A 20,592-nucleotide genomic window follows, 5' to 3' on the forward strand; every position below is an offset into this window, starting at 1 on the left:
GGCTGGTCCCAAAGTCCTGACCTCAAGTGATCCGCCTGCCTTGGTCTCCCAAAGTGCTGGGATTACAGGCCTGAGCCACCATACCCGGCCTCTTTTGAGCACTTTCTGATGCCAAGAACTAGGTTTAGTACTGGCTCAACTCTGGGGGAGCTGATGCCTCAAAGGACAGATAGAGAAGTAAACATATGATTGACACCCATGTCATTGCGCCCCCACGCTCCCCACCGCCATCCAGGAGTAAGCATAGAAGTCTCACAGCACAAGGCCTGAACTCGGTCCCCAACAGACCTGTAGAAACCTTTCCCCTCTCTCTTCCCAGCCTGAAGTCCTTGAACCCATTGAGAGTAGTAAGCAGGACTCCTGACCCCTCAGTCTAGCAGGTTGTACAGAGTAGACTGCTTGGTCTCAGGGGACATCACTGAGTCTGGGGGCACTGAGTCAGAGCCAGCTCCGCCTGCCCACCATGACTGGGTGGCTCTTATACACATGTACTCTTCCCATCTCCAGGTCCCAGATGTCGAGGCCTGTCCACTCTCCTTTTCCCCTAGGCAGGGATGGAGGGGCGTGTCAGTCCTGTATAATTTGGAGTGACTGGAGGGGTGGGGGTATTGATGCATGGTATTCCAGTAAACTTCTCTGCTTGTGTCCTAACTCTAGGCTCCCTCATTCTGTCCCGTGCTCATTTGGGTGAAGACCCATCTGTACCCAGTGTAGGTCTGACCCCACCCTGACCCCTCTGCATTTGCAGGTATTGCTGGACATCTTCACTGGGGTGCGGCTTTACTTGCCACCCTCCACACCAGACTTCAGCCGTCTCAGACGCTACTTTGTGGCATTCGACGGGGACCTGGTACAGGAATTTGATATGACTTCAGCCACGCACGTGCTGGGTAGCAGGGACAAGAACCCTGCGGCCCAGCAGGTCTCCCCAGAGTGGATTTGGGCATGTATCCGGAAACGGAGACTGGTAGCTCCCTGCTAGGTTTGCTGTCTTCCCTCTCCCTCAGGCCATACTCTCCTTTACCATACTACTGGACTGGACTCAGGCTGGAGGCAGATAGACACAGTATAGGGGGAATGGGCTTGCTTCTCCCAAACCCACCAGTTCTCCACTGTCTCTTCTGGACCAGGAATTAGTTGCTGTGGGTGCCACAGCTGAAGTCAGTTTGTCTTGCTGGTTTAAATAGATCTTTCAGAGCTGGGTGCTGGGTTTGCCATCTTTTTGTTTTCTTTGAAAAGCAGCTTAGTTACCCTTTTTATAAATAAAATATCTTGCAGTTATCTTTGTCCTTTCCCCACCTACACCCCCAATAATTTCCCTAGAGATTAAGGAGTAAAGGCTGGGCTATGGCAGCTCTGTCCACAAAGCCTTCTCTCCCATCCTTGCCTGTTCCTTTGTACTTCCAGGCTCATTTTAAAGTTGTATTTAAAGGACTGCCCTCGGAAATGCTTCTGTTTAGCGGAACTTGTATTCAGCCTGACACGCTTTGCCAGGAACAAACCTCATGTGAAAGAAAACAAAATGAATTTTTTTACTTTCTTCTCTGTGTTCTCCTATTACATGGTGAGGATCCCCAGTTTGAAGGGAGGGGACTAGGGTCAGGTAGGAAAATGGGGCCTTTATGAAGAAAGGGGAGGTTATTTGGGCCACTCCTCTGGAGGGATAGAGGGCTCCAGGAAGATCTGCATCCCCAAAACCTGGAAACAAGACTGTTCTTTAAGAATAAAAATCCACATGGGGCTTGAGGCCAAGAACAGCCCTTGTTGCCACCAACATGGAGACTTTGTACCATATCCCATTCTTAGTGCTCGAGTGTTCCAACCTGAAGTTGAAGAAGCCACCCTGGCTGCACATGCCATCAGCCATGACTGTGTATGCTCTGGTGGTGGTGTCTTACTTCCTCATGACTGGAGGAATAATTATATGATATTGTTGAACCCCCAAGTATTGGCTGATGAACGTGGGCATCAGAGGCCAGTAGCTTTCTTGGCCTACAAAGTAAATGGACAGTATATTATGGAAGGATTTGCATCCAGCTTCCTGTTTACAATGGGAGGTTTAGGTTTCATAATGCTGGACCAGTCGAATGCACCAAATATCCCAAAACTCAATCGATTTTTTTTCTTCTATTCATTGGATTCGTCTGTGTCCTACTGAGTTTTTTCATGGCTGGAGTATTCATGTGAATGAAACTGCCGGGCTATCTGATGGGTTAGAGCGCCTTTAAGAAGAAATCAGTGGATACTGGATTTGCTCCTGTCAATGAAGTTCTAAAGGCTGTACCAATCCTCCAATATGAAATGTGGGAAAGAATGAAGAGCAGCAGTAAAAGAAATACCTAGCGAAAAAAACAGGAAGCATATTGAAGCTCGGACTAGAATTTCTTCTTGGTATCAGAGAGACAAGTTTATCACAGTATTTTTTTTTTTCCTGCTGACCTATTGATAATACCAACAATGTTGAGTGGCATTTTCTTCTTAGTTTTTAATTTCTTAAAGAAAATATACTCCATATCTGCAGGGAAAAAAATAAAAATCCACACCTGAGAACAGATCCATACAACCTGCTTACAAAGAACAGCTCCTGTGCTACCTGAGGCTGATTTATTTGAAGAACAAAAGGAAGAGAGACAATTTAGTGTAGACAAGTGCTATTCAATAGAACTTTTTGCAGCAGTGGAAATATCCATAAATCTGCAGTATCCAACCAAACTAGCCACAGACAGCTGCTGAGCAATTGAAATGAAGCTGGCACAACTAAGGAACTGAAGTTCTTATTTTAATTCAACTTCAAATGGTCACATGTCACTAGTGACTACCACACTGGACAGTGCAGGTGTAGACGGAGTTCAGATCAGACTCCTGAAACTTAATGGCTCTAACCTTAGGCAAGTTACGTTAACATCTAAGCCTCAATCCCTCCAAGTAGAATGGGTGCACCTAAATCATAGGGTTGTCCTGTTGTCCTGAGCAACATTATGTAAAGCACTTAGCCCAGAGCCTAGCACATAGTTATCTAGAGTTGGGAACGTCACTCCTGGTGTGCATGTCCAGACCCTACCCGGGAGAAGGGCCTAACCTATGACTTTAGAACCCTCAGTTGCAGGTGTGCATGTTCCAGCCAACACTCCACTCTGAGTGCAGGCTCATCAGGACACCATATGGTTGTAAACTGGCTGCCATGTCCCAATCCTTCCAGCTCTTGAGGGTCAGTTCTCACCTTATGAACAAATTAACAGGCTCTGGACCTATAAGATCAAGGACCACTGCGCCCCCTGGCCACCCCACCGCCCCCCCCCAACTTTGATCTGATTGACTTTGGCTTCCACCTACTGTTTAAAATGTGTATGTTGGGGGAGTAGGGACAGCACGGGGGAGGGGTTTACTTTCCTGACTCTAGCCCAGGACATTTGGTGTTTTTGAATAGGCACCATTCAGCCTTGCTTCAGTATTAGGAATAAGATACTTTTTATTCCATCCTCTATGGAGACAAAAAGCTGCTCCTCCTTTGAGTACTGACCTACATAGATTTCCATTTCTCTCTTCAGCCTCAGGCCAAACAAACAACCGGACAGGGCAGCAGAACAAGGCTGTCTCCTCAGGATCCTGCCAAAGGCACTGTCCTCTCCAACCTGGACCCAGCCCCACTTGCCCTTATTGGTTGCTTACACCCAGAGTGCACACTCACAGGAAAGGGCCTCTGCTGGCTGCAGGTGATCATCTTGTCCCTTCTCTGCCTTAGTGTGTGTTATTGCCATTTCAATGTCAGTGGTTTTTTATGTATTTTCTTCCAGTCTTTGCTGCTGAGATCTGACTGTATATACTATTTTGTATCCTTTCATGTATTTCTTTCATGTATTTCAATGCAGCCCTCAACATCATCATCATAAATCTCTCCAGCAGAATGCTGGAGGCCTCCCTCTTCTGAACCTCTACATGCTGCTGGCTGGCATCAAGCAGAGGTCATCACTGGGTGCTGAACAGGTCAGCTCCCTAGGGCAATGTGAGCAAAGTGTTGTGGCTCATCCTCGATCCTTTATGCCCTTTTGGCAAGATTCCTTTCTCTTCTCAGTCACAGCAGATGGACACATAATCTTGTTCTCCCAGGGGCTGCATTCTCAGTAGTCTTTTCCCTGCTCCTTGGGCGCCTGGTCAGGGAGGTTTGTACAAGCCTGCGCACACACAGCAGTCTGTCACGAGGCTGGGCCAACCTTTTTTTTTTTTTTAAACAGACTCTTGCTCTGTCATTCAGGCTGGAGTGCAGTGGTGCAATCTCAGCTCACTGCAACCTCTGCTTCCCGGGTTCACAAGCAATTCTCATGCCTCAGCCTCCCAAGTGGCTAAGACTTAACAAACAGGCACACACCATCACTCGCAGCTAAGTTTTTGTATTTTTAGTAGAGACCACGTTTCGCCATGTTGTCCAGACTGGTCTCAAACTCCTGGCCTCGAGTCATCCACGCACCTCAGCCTCCCAAAGTGCTGGGATTACAGGCGTGAGCCATGGCGCCCAGCCTGGGCCAACCTTTTCTGAGCCATAGTCCAGCTGTACTACAGCTGTATCCAAAAGGTACCATGTATCTCCCAGGGTAACCTGAAGACCTAACTGGGCATACTAACTGTCCTCAGATTTCAGTTCTTTAAGGCCCATCTCTTCTAGATCAGTGTAAATATCTGAACTCACTTGGTGCTTCAACCCAATTGGTCTTGGGATTCATCCTTTACCTACCCAGCTCTCATTCTCTTCTAGGTTGTTCCATGGCCTCTTCCATATATTACATTTGTGGTCTTGAGCAAGTTAGTTAGTTACAACAACACTGAGCATCTTGACCAAGGTCACTTGGCCCAACCACAGGCTAATCCCAGGCCATGTGCACATCCCAGGATTAGCTTGTGGTTTATCAGTTGTCAATTTTTTTTTTTTTTTAATACAGGGTCTCACTCTGTCACCCTGGCTGGAGTGCGGTGGCGATCAGAGCTCACTGCAGCTTCAATCTCCTGGCTCAAGTGATCCTCCCACCTCAGCCTTCCAAGTAGTTGGGACTACCCACATGCACCACCATGCACGGCTAATTTTTTGGTTTTTTTGGGTTTTTTGTTTGTGTTTTTTTTTGTTTTGTTTTTTGAGACAGAGTCTCGCTCTTTCGCCCAGGCCGGACTGCAGTGGCGCAATCTTGGCTCACTGCAAGCTCCGCCTCCCGGGTTCACACCATTCTCCTGCCTCAGCCTCCCGAGTAGCTGGGACTACAGGCACCCGCCACCACGCCTGGCTAATTTTTTGTATTTTTAGTAGAGACGGGGTTTCACCGTGTTAGCCAGGGTGGTCTCGATCTCCTGACCTCGTGATCTGCCCGCCTCAGCCTCCCAAAGTGCTGGGATTACAGGCGTGAGCCACCGCACCCGGCCCTTGTTTGTTTTTTTAAGTAGAGACAAGGTCTCACTACATTGCCCAGGTTGGTCTCAAACTCCTGAGCTCAAGCAGTCTTCCCACCTTGGCCTCCTAAAGTGTGGAAATTATAGCATGAACCACTGTCAGGCTCTTTTGTCAGTCCTATCAACCTCTAACATCCTCGCACCAGACAGGACAGGTGTCTGTATTGAAACTTTATTACAAAATTATAAAGCAGAGCTCTGTAACAAAATAATACACATTTGGGTTTGCTTTAACCTCCAAGTAAGTCTGAGAAAATCTTAATAAAAGCCACTTGAAGTAACAATTCACATCCAAGAGATTTCCACAAATTTATACAATGTATATTGAGCACTAGTTCCTGTACAGCTTATTCTTATTAGTTTGGATCCAACTATTCCAATGTATTATGAACCAGTCAGCTATCTGTCTTTTGAAACAAGTCTTAACTGAAATCTCAGAGTAATCAGCAAAAGCTACGGAATAATTCTAAGAATTAGATGTTTCCATATCATTAAAACCAAGGATCCATGAGGGGCAGAAGGGAGGATTCAAAGATTTAAAAAAAATCAAATTTTAGACCTTGGTTAAATATTAACTGGAATGGGATCTTGGAACTCCCAACTTTAATTTGGTGTAATAAAAATGATGCAAAAAAAAAAAAAATCAGGGTTGTTTGACACCTTTTTTCCTAAAGGGAAACCTTCACCAAAAGGGGATAAAAGATTTAAAGGCAAAATGAGTAAACAACCTCAGTTTTAATTCTTACTGAGGTTACTAACCAGCTATCAGTATATTATTTTCGATTTGTGTCTAGGAGGGAAACTGAAGAGGAGGTAAGGCTTCAGCAGAGAAAGCAGGTTGTAAGTAGAGAGCCAGCTTCTGCCCTTAAGTTACTGCTAGATCTTAGCTGAATTGCACATACATAGACCTGTTTTACAGAGGAACTGAGTAGCTGAATGAATGATCCTTTGCTAATTGGTAGGCATTGTAAACTATAGTATTTACTGCCCATGACAAAAGTGGAAAGGGATGTCTTCATGAGCAAATCTGATTCCCCCAACTCCTGCAAAGGCTGTGGTTCAGAATCAAATCATCCAGGACTTTGTATAACATTGAGGTAAGTGGCCCAGTGTTCAGTTGACTAGTTTATGCAGTTATTTCATTCCTCCAAAGGGGTTTAGTGGTTGGTGATGGAAGAAAGCATAAATATGTCTGTACCAATGTAATAAGTCCCTTTAGAGGTTTCCCTCTGCCATCCAGAGTCATGATTGGTTCTAGTCTCAGATTTTTCAGCTGCATGGGAGGGGTAAGGGGTGGGAGGTGTCTGCCAAGGCGTTTAGGGTTTGCATAGTTCATCCATTGGTAATGGGAAAACACTCTGCTTTCCTGATCATGTGTTTTGTGCTTGGCCACGCTTCTGCAGCAAACTCTTAAGTCCTCCAGCTCCTCTAGGGGTGTAAAGACTGTGAGGGCTCAAATACATCACCTACTCATTGCATGGTCCTTCCTAAAGAGCCTAGAAAATGGTTTCTCCTGCTGGGTGTGGTGGCTCACGCCTGTAATCCCAGCACTTTGGGAAGCTGAGGCGGGCGGATCATAAGGTCAAGAGTTCAAGACCAGCCTGGTGAACATGGTAAAACCCCGTCTCTACTAAAAATACAAAAATTAGCCTGGTGTGGTGGTGGGCGCCTATAATCCCAGCTACTCTGGAGGCTAAGGCAGGAGAATAGCTTGAACCTGGGAGGTGGAGGTTGCAGTAAGCCAAGACTGTACCACTGCACTCCAGCCTGGGCAACAGAGTGAGACTCAAAAAAAAAAAAAAAATGCTTTCTCCCTGACCTGCCCCCAAAAATCAGTGGGCTAGGAAAGGGAATGAAAGTAGGGTCTCCTCACTCCCCACCAACCTGGGAAATAAAGACTTGAACTGTCGGCTTACAACAGAATCCAGTCTCATTCAGTACCTCCTGAAAGCTCTTAAGTGCTCTGTCTTAACATTTGCTCTCCAGGAACTTCAACAGCAGTCTGGCCAGAGAAGAGCACAGGCTCTTTGCCTAAATCTATTTCTTCAATGAAACCAAATTTAAAACTACCATGGATAAGGGAGGGATTTCATTTTCAGCGAAAAGTGGCTTAAGACTTCTAGTTGGGAAAAGGATCAGAAGCCAAGCCAAAATTAAGGAGAAGGCCACTGCCTCCACCCATTGCTTCCCCTTTCCGCATAAACTAAGGATGGTGCAAATCAGGTCCCAAGAGAAGCAGCAGCAGGGATTATGCACGCACTATCCCTTGCAGACAGAAACAAATTTCCCAGCAGTTTGGGAGCCTGATGTTTTGTTGGCTCCCAGAGTCAGGTCAGGAGACCAACAGCTTCCAATCCCAGCATTTAATGAAGTGGCTTTTAACAACTTTGAAATTTTTCTATAGCATTTGTATTTCATTTCTCACCAAAGATAAGTTTACTGGTCTAAAATCTGTCCTAAGGACCACTATCGGTCTGGTAAACTAACATTTTTGGTCCAAAGAAACAAATGGATTTAGGCAATGTAGCAAGAGACTTTAGCAAAGATAGTTAAAGCACAGAAAGCCGGAGAGACCAGAAATTTAAATCCGAATGTGCTGGGGAGGAGGACTTCTGATTGATGAAACACATGGGCAAGCATCTCCCATATGGGGTGGGGATGGGTTGGGTACAGGAGGAGGGGTGAAACTGTCTAGGTTCAGGGAGGAAGACAGGACCCAAGTTCTGGAAAGTTCTCTGTTCATCAGTTACCATCATCACTCCAAGATCACTGAACCAAGAACATACCCATGTGATTTATACAAGTTCCCACTGGCCTTGGGCTTTGCCAGCCAAGAGGTACACCCCTGGGAAGACAGGCATGCTCAGGGGTGACATGGCATCTTGCTTGACCTGGTTTTGGGAACCCTGCAATATTTCTACTAGCTTGCTCCTCTGCAAGCTGGCCAACCCTGAGCCCAGACACCCCAGGCTATTTCCCTGTAAGGCACTGAAGAAACCGATGCAAGCTCTCAGGACCGGAAGACATGCACAGCTCGGATTACATACTGCCGGCAGATGGGACATTCATTCATGCGCTTGCCACACTTGGTACAGGTTACCATGTGGCCACACTCCAGAAGAACACAGTCAATGGGTGAGTCCATGCAGATCTTACACAGGTTCTCCTCCAAGCCTGATGGTACTGCTCCCCCTGTACAAACACACAGGGCAGAAAAAAAGGGGCAGAGGAGTGAGGAGAATGTCTTAAGTGTATAGGGGTGACTGGGGGAGGGAGGTGGGAGATAACAGGTACATTGTAAACAAAGTCTCAGTGCACATGCTTCCCTCAAATAGAGCTCCTCCGAGGAAACATTTCCTCAATAACCAACTCTGGTTACTTGTTTAATCCACACTTCATCCCCTCCAACAGGTAAAGATTTGAAAAGTACACAGCACTTGTGGATCAGACACATCCCAGAACATGAGAACTAAGGCAAAGTTCTCAAAGCTTAAAAGAAATAATTTTCAGACTGTTGGGGCTGTAATATAGTGAGTGTGTGAGTGGCACGTAGGGACTCATTATCCCCTGAGGCAGAACAGGCTAAAAAGATAAAACTGGTTCAGAAAAGTTTAGATAGAAATGGAACTGTGATGAATGGTTCATTAAGGATCACAAGGCTTTATCTATAAACATATCCTCCATTTAATAAAGTCAGGGATCATGGGGGACCCCTCTGCTATCTCACAAACTACTCCCAGGTTTCCTGAGGAAACTTCCTGGTGGAGAAACTTGGCAGAGATTACTGCTCCCTCTTTCTACCCCCACAAAACTTTTTTATACCCCCATGACTGCTTATCACATTGGATTAAAATTTTGAGTTTGCCTACTTACTCCCAGAGTAGACTATGAGCTCTTTAATTCAACATATTCAATCAATTTTTACAATTATATGCTTAGCATTTATTCCATGCTCCAAGGTTAGATATTCATCTTTGAAGCCCCCAATGCCAGTTATATGGTAGGTACTCTAAATGTCTGATGAATGAACATCTTCCCAAGGGAATGACAACATCCCACATTTACTGAATGCTTACCGTGTGCCAGGCAGGGTCCTGAAAGCTTTGCATGTGTTAACTCACTGAAGCCTCACAAAAACTATAAAGTAGGACCTCTTGTTATTTTCATTTTATAGATGAGGCCAACTGGGGCAAAAAAGTTAAGTGGCTTGCCCAAGGGCACAAAGCTGCTAAGTCGAGGAGCCAGGATTCAAACCCAGGCAGGCTGGCCCCACAGCTCCTGCTCTAGAATGGCCTTCTGCCTAACTGCCCTAAGAGTAGAAACTATCCAGACAGTATCAACTGCTGAGTGCACAGGGTTCTCAATAAATGCTAACTGGCTTGTGTCACTAGCAGAATATAGTGGGCATGACCAGTATCCTAGTAGAGCTGACCCAAACAGAAAAAATAATGTTCAAAAGCCCAGCCATCTCCAATATGTCTTAAATTGTAGCCTGAAGTAGGTACCCATAAAAAGGAACTGATCTCACAGAAGTCACCTCTACCATCTGGGGGTTGGCCAACCCATAGAGGAATTCTCCCTTATTGCATCTATACTTTCTCTTTTCTGGACTATTAAAAAGTCAAGAAATACTTCCCCCTAGGAGGTAGGCTGGGTGTGAAAGGGAGTGAAACCCATTTGCCTCTTTTGAGGTGCTGTTGGTCCTAACAGAGGTTTGGAGACTATACAAATACCTAAGATGAATGGGAATAATTTATAATTTTCAGTTACTCATTCTCTCAGAAGTAACAACAAACACATTAACTCAGTTGTCAGCATTCTCCCAGGGAATCAGAAAAAGAAAGGAAGCACCAAGTAGATCAGCCTGATCTTGGTACCGGTGATGCTGGGGGGTTGGAGGGTGGAGGTGGGTCTAGAACTCCAAATGGTTTTGGGGAATTGAGAAAAGCTCAACTGTTTTTTATGTCTGATTAGAAGTAATCAGACATAAAATTGCCCATTCTGAGCAAAAGGCCATTTTACTAAATAAATTTGGGAAATCTTCTGAAATAAGTTTTAAAATGCTGCAGGCTAGTCCAACACTACTCTTAGAACGTTCTCTCTTGGAAGGGAGTTCACAACCATATACCCTTGAGGCTTTTGAAAACACATAGCATATTTTAGAATGTCCCCACAGATGGTCAGGAGTTCTGCAGTGTGTTCTGGGAGTACCTGAGGGCCCAGTGGTGGTCTTTAAGTGAGTGGCAGCTGAGCTGAGATATATAGCTTGTGCCCAGAGAGTAGCACATGTGTTAGCTCCAGAGTAGCTCTAACCATTACCAGCCCTGTACAAACAGGGCTGTCTCAGGTCACCACCCTTTCTTTTTGGTTAGTACCAGAAGCTGCTAAACACCCTGATTCCCCAGAAGGTGTACACAGAGACCCTCCCTACCCAGACCAGAACTGAAAACACCAAGATTTTAAAAAATGAGCTGAGTGTGATACATGCCACCCCTCCTCTGTTTCAGTGTTTTACAAATGTTGGCTTATGAGCTCAGGTAGCCCAGGGACATGCACATCAGTCAGTCCGCCCCTACGTATGCTCCACTCTGCTTCCTGCACAGCGAGCAGAGAGAATTTCTAAAGATGGTGAGAGGCCCCCTGGGTCTCAGTGAGTTTCCCACACACCCTCTCTCTGGGGGCTCAAATGCTCAGAATTCTTAGATTACTAAAGGGATTGGGGTTGAAGGAGGGGAAGGACAAAAGGGCCTAAGCCCATTCCCAAACAGAAACAACTACATACCGTTTTGGTCTTCGGCACCACTGACTGAAAAGGAAAGAGAAGGATGTCTGAATAGGTAAGGCATGATGGTACAAATACAGTCTCTTACTGCCCTGACATCATTTCTGAACTCTTACCACTCCCTGCTGGGAACCAGGCTTGCCAAGAGCCTAGATGGACATCTGCCCTCTACTCGCTCTACATGCTCAGAACTCACACAAAGCTCCTACTCGTGCATCTGGTCTACTTTTATTTTTTATTTTTTTGAGATGGAGCCTCACTCTCTTGCCCAGGCTGGAGTGCAGTGGCATGATCTTGGCTCACTGCAACCTCTTTCTCATGGGTTCAAGCGATTCTCCTGCCTCGGCCTCCTGAGTACCTGGGGACTACAGGCACATGCCACCACTCCCGGCTAATTTTTTGTTTTTGGTGGAGATGGTGTTTCACCATGTTGCCTATGCTGGTCTTGAACTCCTGATCTCAAGTGATCCACCTGCCTCAGCCTCCCAGAGTGCTGGGATTACAGGCATAAGCCAACACACCCAGCCTGGTCTACTCTTAGGAAAAGGTATTCCACCAGTTTGCACAAACTGCCAAGTAGAAGGATACTGTATATGTGCAATATCCTTTTCTATTTTGAAGTCAGCATTAAAGTCAAGAAAGAATGAACTATCTAGCTGTTTCAGTCAGTCAGAGAATCTGGATAAAGTTCCCACGTGGAGTCATCTGTTCTGTTCCCCAGGTCCTGACGACTGGAGAGAAGACTCTTGAAACAATCCCAAAGGGAAAACAGACTCCATGTCAGTAGGCCTCAGTCTGTAATCGGGTGAAGAGTCAGTCAGATGACCCCTAACACTGATGAATTTGAGCTACTGGTAGAAGAGAGCCTGAAACCTGACTTCAACCACTCTTACCAAGCAAGGAATCAGTATGTTGCTCTGTAGGAACCAAATCAACTGGGGATGGGAGGAAAGGAGAAGATTCTGTGGTGAAATAATTTCAGGAAATGCTAAGTTCAAAACAGCCAAAACACATTTCTCTTCTGCAGGACTTCTCTGCCTTTAATATAAAAATCTACCATAAATCAGTAATGAAGATATGAGGTATTTTTCCCTAAACTCATTTAACCACAGACCCAGATATTTTCCTGGGCATCTCCTGAATGATACAGTGTAAAATGCTCTGGGAAATGAACAAAAGGAAGAGCCCAAGTGCAGATGGAACAGCTATCTTCTCCTGCCATGTATGTAGATTCACTTTCTACCTCCCAAATCTTCAGAACAAGCATTCTTATTCTAAGGTAAGAAAACTTACAAGGTGGTGGTGAGTAGGGAGGGGATAGCATATGGTGAGAAAGGCTATGGACTTAGACCATAAAATTTTCAGTTAAATTTTACCTTTCAGATAAAGGGGTGATGCTAATAATGTCTATTTCATAGGTTGCTCTAAGGAATAAATACATACATGCAATGCCTAATCTAGTTTTGACACTCAACCACAAATGACAGCTATTATTAGACGGTGCAAATATGTAAGGTGTCTCCTTCCATGGCTTAAGTGTGGAAATTGAGTCAGGTCAATACCATCATGCTTTGGAGTGACAGCAAACACTCCTGAGCTCTGTAAAGCTACCATGCAGATAGCCCCTCACCCAGGTGCTGGAGTCCTTTCTGATCCTTGTATAGCCGGGTCACTCTCTCCATCAGCTCCCACTTCTCACAGCAGCCCTTGTAGTTGACAAAGTTGCGAGCCAAGATCTCTTTCAGCTGCCGCACTGTCAGGCCTTCAATGTCCTCCAGGTCAGTCAGGTCAGACAGAGAGGCCCTTCGGCCTGGGACAAAGCTGTCCTCTGAGTCAATAGACTGCAATGACAAAGATGAGATCAGTGTGCTCAGCTCTTACCTCCCCAAGCTCTTTCTCCAAGGACCCCAAAGCAGTCACCACATCATAATTTTGGTGACTGACCTCATGAAGGGTAGGAACAGAGACAGGATGAGTACCTGGCATGGTGCTCTGCATTGCAAAATATACTAGAATCTCTTCCTGACCCACGATTCTGTGCTCAGGAGCAAACAGACACAGACCAACCAATCAGTGTGATATAGTACTAGATAGAAGTATAGTAGAAGGAGTGCTGGTTTGAGTCATATGACCCTAATTTTGAATCTTGACTCCTCTGCTGTTAATGCTAAATAATATCCAGCAAGTTGCTTACCACTCTGAGCCCGTTTGCCCCTCCATTAAGGGGAGAGAGCAGTCCTACCCCACAGGGGTCCTGTAGAGGTTAAATATGGCCGCACATGAAACCCAGCATGGTGCTGGCCCTTCTCCCCTGGAGACTTCTGCTTGCCCACAAGAGGCACATTTCCCTGGCAAGTACTCCTCTATACACAACCTTGGCCACAGCTCCCTGGTCTGTGCTCTGGACTGGCCCTGCCTGGCTAATTGTCTGACCTCCTTCCCTTGACAATGGCTACAGTGTGCTAGAAGCAAGGAAAGAACAAGACTTTAACAGCAGGACCACAAGCCTGCCCTCCGGCAGCTCTTAGAAAGTCAAGAGACTGGAAATACAATGGGCCATGAGGCTTCTCCGTCTCCACTGTGACCTCACAACTCCTTATAAATACACTGACCGCTTCACTAGTTAACCTGGAACACTAACACTAAACCCTACCCCAAAAATATAATTTCGGAAGCACTATCATCACACATTTATTCTCTCTCCACTCGACTCTGCTAAGAGGTTCCGAAGAACACCAGTGAAAGAGGAAAGGTGAAGACACAGACCCAAGCAGAGGCCCCACCTGGGTCTCATCCTCAGCAGGTACTCTGGCCACGCTCTCCAGGTAGACGGGTTCCTCTTGATCCTGAGACACATGGCCATTGGCCTGTGGGAAGAGAAAAGTAACATCACATCTAGAGATGTCCCAGAGATCTGCATAGCATGGGCCTCTTTTCAACTCACACAATGTCCAGAATGTACTCCCATCATGCCCAGAAATCCGGAGCCTCTTACAGCATCATTACAAAAGCCTGCTCTCTCATACCAACTTTGTCAAGCAGAGAAACAACAAAAATACATTTCAATAGACAAAGCTGCCCTCTAGAACAAAACTGCATTAATTCTGCACACACCAGGATGGCAGTAGCCACAACTCATCATCAATTTAATCTCAGCTTGAGCACCACAGGTGAAGGGAAGGTCATTGTGTCCATTCCACTGCTGGACTGCTCTCTATCTGGCATCAAGGTTTTTCTTGACACTGATCCAAAATTGCCATCCCTATCCCTGGTTCTGCTCCTCAGACCATAGTCTCCTGGGGTTTTTGTTTGTTTGTTTTTTGTTTTTCCCAAACTGTTTATACCATGTTTTCCCCTCCTTCACACTAAATCTCCCTGGCTTCCTTATCTGACACTGATGGGACAAAGTTTCCAGATCATCACCACCCTAGTCTCTTTCTTTTCTGCCTAGTAACTACTCTCACATTCTGGAAATGTGCTCCCCATGTTGAGCACACTATTATTAAGTGCTATGTCCAGACCTAGTCAAAGAGTATTTTAATGTATCTAAGAATCTATTAGCCTAACACTATATAAAACACTGCCTATGCTTACGGAATTTCATTATGCTTAGAATTCTCACTTCTCAAAAGGTTCCTCCTGAGTACTCTTTTAGGAGGTTTGGCCAAAGAGTAGGCAGAACTGTTAGCCTCCTAATTCCATCACCATTTAAGCCACAAACCCCTTAAGTAGATCCTCTTCGCCCACTGCTCCCTGCAGGCAAAGGGCCTGCTGTGAGCTCAGAGCAAAGAGGTGTCTGAGCTCACAGGCCTTTTCCACCAGATTCTGGGGATGCCAGTGAAGGGACAATCTGGGAAACCAAAGACACCCACCGACCCCAGCCACTCACCCCACATTAGGATTCATAATATGGAGCTAATCAAGAAGAGGCAACCAACTGCAATGGAAATGAAAAGCAGAAGTAACAAAATGCCAAATCAAGGCAAGATCAAATGCATAGTACACATGTATGGGGATGGATCCAAATCAATGTCTTCATCAACAACGTTTTCTCTTAGCTTACTGTAGATCCTCACTGGTCTCTCAGGTAGTGTTACCTTGGAATTACCCTGGAATCCTTCAGAGCCTAACCTGTTCCTAAGTAGCTATCTTTCAGATGTCCTGTTTCCTAGAAAGAGAAACGACCTCATGCTGCAAAGCATGCTCTTGTCTTTCCAGTTTGCCCACTGGCTAAATAAAAATCCAAAACTAGTACCTGTCCACAGTTGTGCTTATTGTATATACTTCCTTGCCTAGCAACTATTGATTGCTAGGGCACTAAAGGTGAAAGAGAGAACTCTGGTTGAGCAAGTATTATAAGGAAATTTACATTCTAGGTGCAGCTCACTTATGAACTTGTCAGACAGTACTGCGTAAGTTACTTAATTCTTCCATGCCTGTTTTTCCTGCTTGCAAAGTGCAGCTCTCACCAGAACAGGGGATGTAAGCAGACACTAAGGTCTCTTGAAAATCTCAGAGGAAAAGTACCCACTTAGATCTTGTATGTAGGGTGACCTTTAGGTGCAATCTGGAAATTTCTGGTTAATGACAGGAAGCTTATCATCTTTCATTGAAAAATCTACCTGAAAAGTTTGCTTGGTTTTTTGTTTTTGTTTTCTGAGACAGGATCTCACTCTGTTGCCCAGGCTGGAGTGTGGTGGCATGATCATGGTTCACTGCAGCCTCGACCTCCCAGGCTTAAATGATCCTCCCACCTCAGCCTCTTGAGTAGCTACAGGCACCCACCACCACGCCCAGCTAATTTTTGTATTTTTTGTAGAGACAGGTTTTTGCCATGTTGCCAGGCTAGTCTCAAATGCCTGGGCTCAAATGATCCGCCTGCCTCAGCCTCCCAAAGTGCTGGGATTACCAGGCATGAACCACCACGCCCAGCCAAGGTTCTTTACAGAAAAAGAATTCCTCAAGTTCTTCTCCTGGCTCCTTATACATAGAGTGGAAAAAAAAAAAACACAAGCAAAGGGAAGAATATATAGCAGGAGTTTAAATCTGTCTAGCAGACCAAGAGTCAGAGCTTAGGAAAGAATTAAAGTCCAGCTGCGGAGAAAAACATGTTCAGGCCAAAAAGGGAGTTAAATGATTTTACTGCAGTTAAATTATGCTATCACATTGGCCTTTATGCCTCAGTGGTTGTCAAGAGCTGAATCAGGGGGCCCAGTCCTGGCAAAGGAGGTGATCATAAACAAGTGGCAGCAGCCATCCACATCATGTGTGGGAACCAACAGCACTAGCACTATACCAGCTCTAAGTAACTCAGAGCTCTTTTAGACATGGTATCACGCATTCAGGTCTCTCAACATCCTGGCAAGATCAAAAGTGGTCTGTGATTACTAACCTCATTTCATTGTTGTAGGCTCAACATTTGCCCAAGGGGATCAAGAAGTCAGTGACAAAAGTGGATGTGGAAATTGGATCTTGTAGTTCCTAATTCCCCCATATTGCCCAAGCCCTATAGATCAAGGGTCCCCAACCCCTGGGCCACAGACTGGTACTGGTCCATGGCTTGTTGGGAACCCGGATGCACAGCAGGAGGTGAGTGGCTGGCAAGTAAGCATTACTGCCTGAGCTTTGCCTCCTGTCAGATCAGCGGTGGCATTAGATTCTCATAGGAATGTGAACTCTGTTGTGAACTGCGCATGCGAGGGATCTAGGATGCATGCTCCTTATGAAAATCTAACTAATGCCTGATGATCTGGGTAGAATAGTTTCATCCCAAAACCAACGCACCCCAGTCTGTGGAAAAATTGTCTTCCACAAAACGAGTCCTTGGTGCCAAAAAGGTTAGGGGCCGCTGCTATAAATAACAGAGTCACTTAAGGCACTTATGCAACATCATCACTTCTTATACAACAATTATGTCCACTGGCCTCACTCTAATCCAGTAGTTAGTTGGTCTACCTGTCTACCTTCCCTCTTCTGGGGGCTTTTTGAGGACAGAGACAGTTTATTACTCATTTCTATACTCCCCAGACCTGGGTCATGATTCAGTTGATGTGCTGCTCTTAGCTTACCACTTCCAAGCCCCCCAGGATAATGAAGAAGCAGCATGCAAGTACAGCGTGCCAACTACTCCTGCTTCCAGCCAGTGACTGGTAAGAGAAGCAGTGTCTTTGTCTGTTTCCCCACCCTCCCTTGCCTCCATATAGCCCTTTGCTTTCCTATATTCCTTGTGATGGTTACTAAGGAACTAAGTTTCCAATCCAGCCAATGAAGACTGCAACAAAGGAGTTAAGTTGAAAGACAAATTGGAACAGAACTAAATTTGATGGCTTAATGGTTACTTTTCTCAAAATATTTCTGGAATGATGAACTTTAAAAAATGTCTAACTAGGATATGTGTGTATTAAAAACAAAAAACAAACAAAAAAATTGGTACTGTGCATATCACCTCTGAAGAAAGCCAAAACATGAGTCTGATACCCAGAAAACACTTGGTGCACCAGTAGTCAGAAAGGCTTCACATAATCAAGACACTTAGCCTTATACCCCATTCTCACAACAAAGGCAGGAGAGGAAAATGAAAATGAGCCCTCAAACTGGCACAGACTGGCAGAGACTACAAATGGGCCCTTACCTGCTGATTCTCCTGAACCTGGGCTGGGGGAACAGAGGTGGCTTGTGCAGATGAAGAGGGGAGGTTGGGTGAGGTAGGTGGAACCATGCTGGAGTGAGGCTGGGTCAGGAAGGCCTGCTGCTCAGGAAAGTCTGGGGACAAGGTGGAGGCACGAGTCCTGTCCTCCTGGGAGATTACAGGCTGCTGGCCAAGGACCAAGAGCACCAGCTCTTCTTTCTCCCGGCACATTTCGGTAGAGATGTCATGGAGGCTGAGATAGTCCCTCAAGTCCTTCACCTTCATCTTCATGAGCTCCTCTCGCTGAAAGGCTGTAGCTCGAAACCGTTGGCAGAGAAGGCAGAGGCGGGGCCCATTCCCTACTTGGCTCGAACAGGTCATGCAAAAATTTTTCTTACAGTCCAAGCAGGTCTGCTGCTTAGAGCAAAAGACACAGGAAACCATGTCAGATTGAGAGAACAAGACAGAGAGTGCGATGGGAGCTTCAGAGCTGCCAAGCCCAGCAGGATCTCCTCCAGTCACTCTTACTTTTACTAAGCTCTCTCATATATCTAAGGGTGCAAGCCACTTTCAGATTTTAGATTAAAAGCCACTCGGGTGGAAGACCTCCACTATGTATTGTGTATATCCATGTACAGGACACTTCACATTTATTATTTAATTTGAGGCTTACTTTATTTACTCCTGAAGCACCTGAGGTATTAATTAAGACTACCAGCATAAGAATCAAAAAGCTCTGCATTTTTATTAAGCCTCCCTCCCTTATTTCTTGCAGTATCACCTTGGGTGTGTAATTTAGCCTCTCTGGTGCTCAGTTTCCACATCTGTAAAATGGGGGTGATAACAGTATCTACCTCATGGGGTTGTTGTGAAGATTAAGAGAGAACCCATTTAGCATATCTAACACAAAATGAGTCCTCAACAAGTGTAAGCTGTTTTATTATAGCTAGGAAATATTACCTAACGGTGACAGCCAGGATTCAAATCCTAAACTGTAATTATTTCTGCATGAAGGTTATGGTGGTGGTGGTTGTTACAATTAATATTAATTTATTGAGGTGCTTCTATATGCTAGCTTGTCATTTAATTCTCAAAGCGACATTGCAAAGTAGGTATTAGTGTTCTTCCCTGATTCACAGACAAAGCAACCGAGGCTTAGGGAGATCAACTGTTGTATTCAAGGTCAGGCAATAAACAGGAGAGCGGGTATTCACACTCAAGGTCTGTTGGAGGCTAATGCCCATGATCACATTCTTTCCACCAGGCCATACTGCATAGCTCAGTTCCATTCAAGTACAGAGCAGTTCTGAGTCAAGGGCCTGGCTTCCATCTCCAAATTCCCCACCCACTGCTCCATCGACACAGGCTCCCCACTCCAGGAAGGCCCACTCAGAGTGCTGGGAACCCAGTGGTGCTTACAAGCATATCCAAGACAAATATTTAGACAGCAACGGGAGGCTGTCTGGACATCAGGGTACTCTCGTTCCTGAAAGCACAGAGTGTCTCAGTTAGGCAACAAGAGCGCCTGATGGGCAAGCTGGTACTGCCTGGCAGCAGCTAGTCTGGCAGTCGCTGACAACACAGGAAGGCTTACTCAGCCCACAGGAAGCAATCCTCGGCCTCTCACCCCACAGGCTGAGTGAGCACAGTGACATCCGGCTGAGCTCTGTTCTGGCCAAGAGCATGTCACATCCCCAACAAGAGAGGTAATTCCTGAGCACACTGGGATTGGCCTGGAGGGCACCCTCATTAATCCTTTAAAGAAGTTAAAAACTTTTCATCCTGTGTTGACTTAAGTAGTAACTTAAATATTTCTGGTCCATCTTTTCGAAATATAGAAAGATATTCAAGCTAAAAAAGAAAGCTCAAGAGACAAGATTCTCATAGTCAAGATCACAGACACTCTGGGCTGAAGTAAATGTCTGCATAGTTAAGATAGTTATATAAGTTTTGTCTAAGTATCATTCACATAGTAAAGGGAAAAGGAAATAATATTTACCACCCAGTTTTGGCTATTAAGACTTAGAAGGCATTGCAAAGGGACATATATCAAGCTCCCTAATTCTCCATACAGTTATAACCAAACAATACTGTTCAGAGATGGACTTAAAAGGATGCATGGCTGCACTAGCATTGTAACGGTTCTGGGACCAGTAGCCATGCAGGCAGAAAATGGATGTTTTCAGGTATTTGGGGTTCATTCACATCTAAAGCTTTTCTATTGGGAAATGAAGTCTGTTTAGGATGACTGAGACTGAAACAAAGAGGCTTCAATGCCATAAACCTGTGGGCCTGACATGGAATATTACTTAAGTCGATGCAGTCTGACAAGACCTAGCTTGACACAATTATAAAGCCTGCGTTGCTCAATCAGCCAGATCCAAACAACTCTCTATTCTTTCTTCAAATGTGTGTGGCTTGCTGGATGCAAGATCAGAATGCAGACAACAACCTAGCTTCTATGCACCCGCTGGCTCACAGGGAACTCTGAAATAAGCTGGCATCTGAAACACACCCTACAGGAACAGGATAGGGCTTGAGGCTAAAACCCCAGTTTGCAGTGGCAGAAGAAAACAAGAAGAAAGGAAAAAAGGGCTGTCAACAAATGCAGGCAGAATGAGCAAAGGACACACTTATGTATAAATTCTGCCGAATGGTTCAAAACAACTCAGTAACCAGGTAGCATGAAAGATGAATTAGTGGAGGCAACCAACATGCCTGCAGAAATGCCCAGGGTGTACTGAGATAT

At 45.4% G+C, this 20,592-nt stretch overlaps 2 protein-coding genes, 1 long non-coding RNA gene and 1 pseudogene across 11 annotated transcripts in view; 2 read left to right on the forward strand and 2 right to left on the reverse strand.

Annotated features, from left to right (window-relative positions):
* LIG3 (DNA ligase 3) overlaps positions 1-7,348 on the forward strand; it is a 30,361-nt gene extending 23,013 nt beyond the window's left edge. For 4 of the 8 annotated variants that reach the window (NM_013975.4, XM_047435972.1, XM_005257970.5 and 1 more), the window contains one exon: positions 749-6,219. In NM_013975.4, the coding sequence (NP_039269.2) occupies positions 749-982 (234 nt within the window). In that variant the 3' untranslated portion in view covers positions 983-6,219. Of the gene's footprint in view, positions 1-748 lie in introns of all 8 variants that reach the window. The other 4 variants (XM_047435969.1, XM_047435968.1, XM_047435970.1 and 1 more) reach the window with 2 other exon arrangements.
* OSTCP7 (oligosaccharyltransferase complex subunit pseudogene 7) lies at positions 1,737-2,517 on the forward strand (annotated as a pseudogene).
* The window catches only part of RFFL (ring finger and FYVE like domain containing E3 ubiquitin protein ligase), an 83,237-nt gene continuing 65,110 nt past the window's right edge, over positions 2,466-20,592 (reverse strand). For both annotated transcript variants that reach the window (NR_037713.2, NM_001017368.2), the window contains exons 3-7: positions 17,847-18,257; positions 13,999-14,082; positions 12,846-13,056; positions 11,216-11,239; positions 2,466-8,625 (exon numbers count right to left, since the gene is read on the reverse strand). Coding sequence is in view for 1 of the 2 variants with exons in the window: in NM_001017368.2 (NP_001017368.1) it covers positions 8,444-8,625; positions 11,216-11,239; positions 12,846-13,056; positions 13,999-14,082; positions 17,847-18,257 (912 nt within the window). In the remaining variant the exon portion in view is untranslated. The remainder of the gene's footprint in view (positions 8,626-11,215; positions 11,240-12,845; positions 13,057-13,998; positions 14,083-17,846; positions 18,258-20,592) is intronic.
* Positions 5,588-20,592, reverse strand: part of RAD51L3-RFFL (RAD51L3-RFFL readthrough) — a 112,411-nt gene continuing 97,406 nt past the window's right edge. The window contains exons 6-7 of the long non-coding RNA NR_037714.1: positions 12,846-13,056; positions 5,588-8,625 (exon numbers count right to left, since the gene is read on the reverse strand). This is a non-coding gene — a long non-coding RNA (RAD51L3-RFFL readthrough). The remainder of the gene's footprint in view (positions 8,626-12,845; positions 13,057-20,592) is intronic.

This window comes from Homo sapiens, chromosome 17, assembly GCF_000001405.40.
Source record: "Homo sapiens chromosome 17, GRCh38.p14 Primary Assembly".
NCBI lineage: Eukaryota > Metazoa > Chordata > Mammalia > Primates > Hominidae > Homo > Homo sapiens.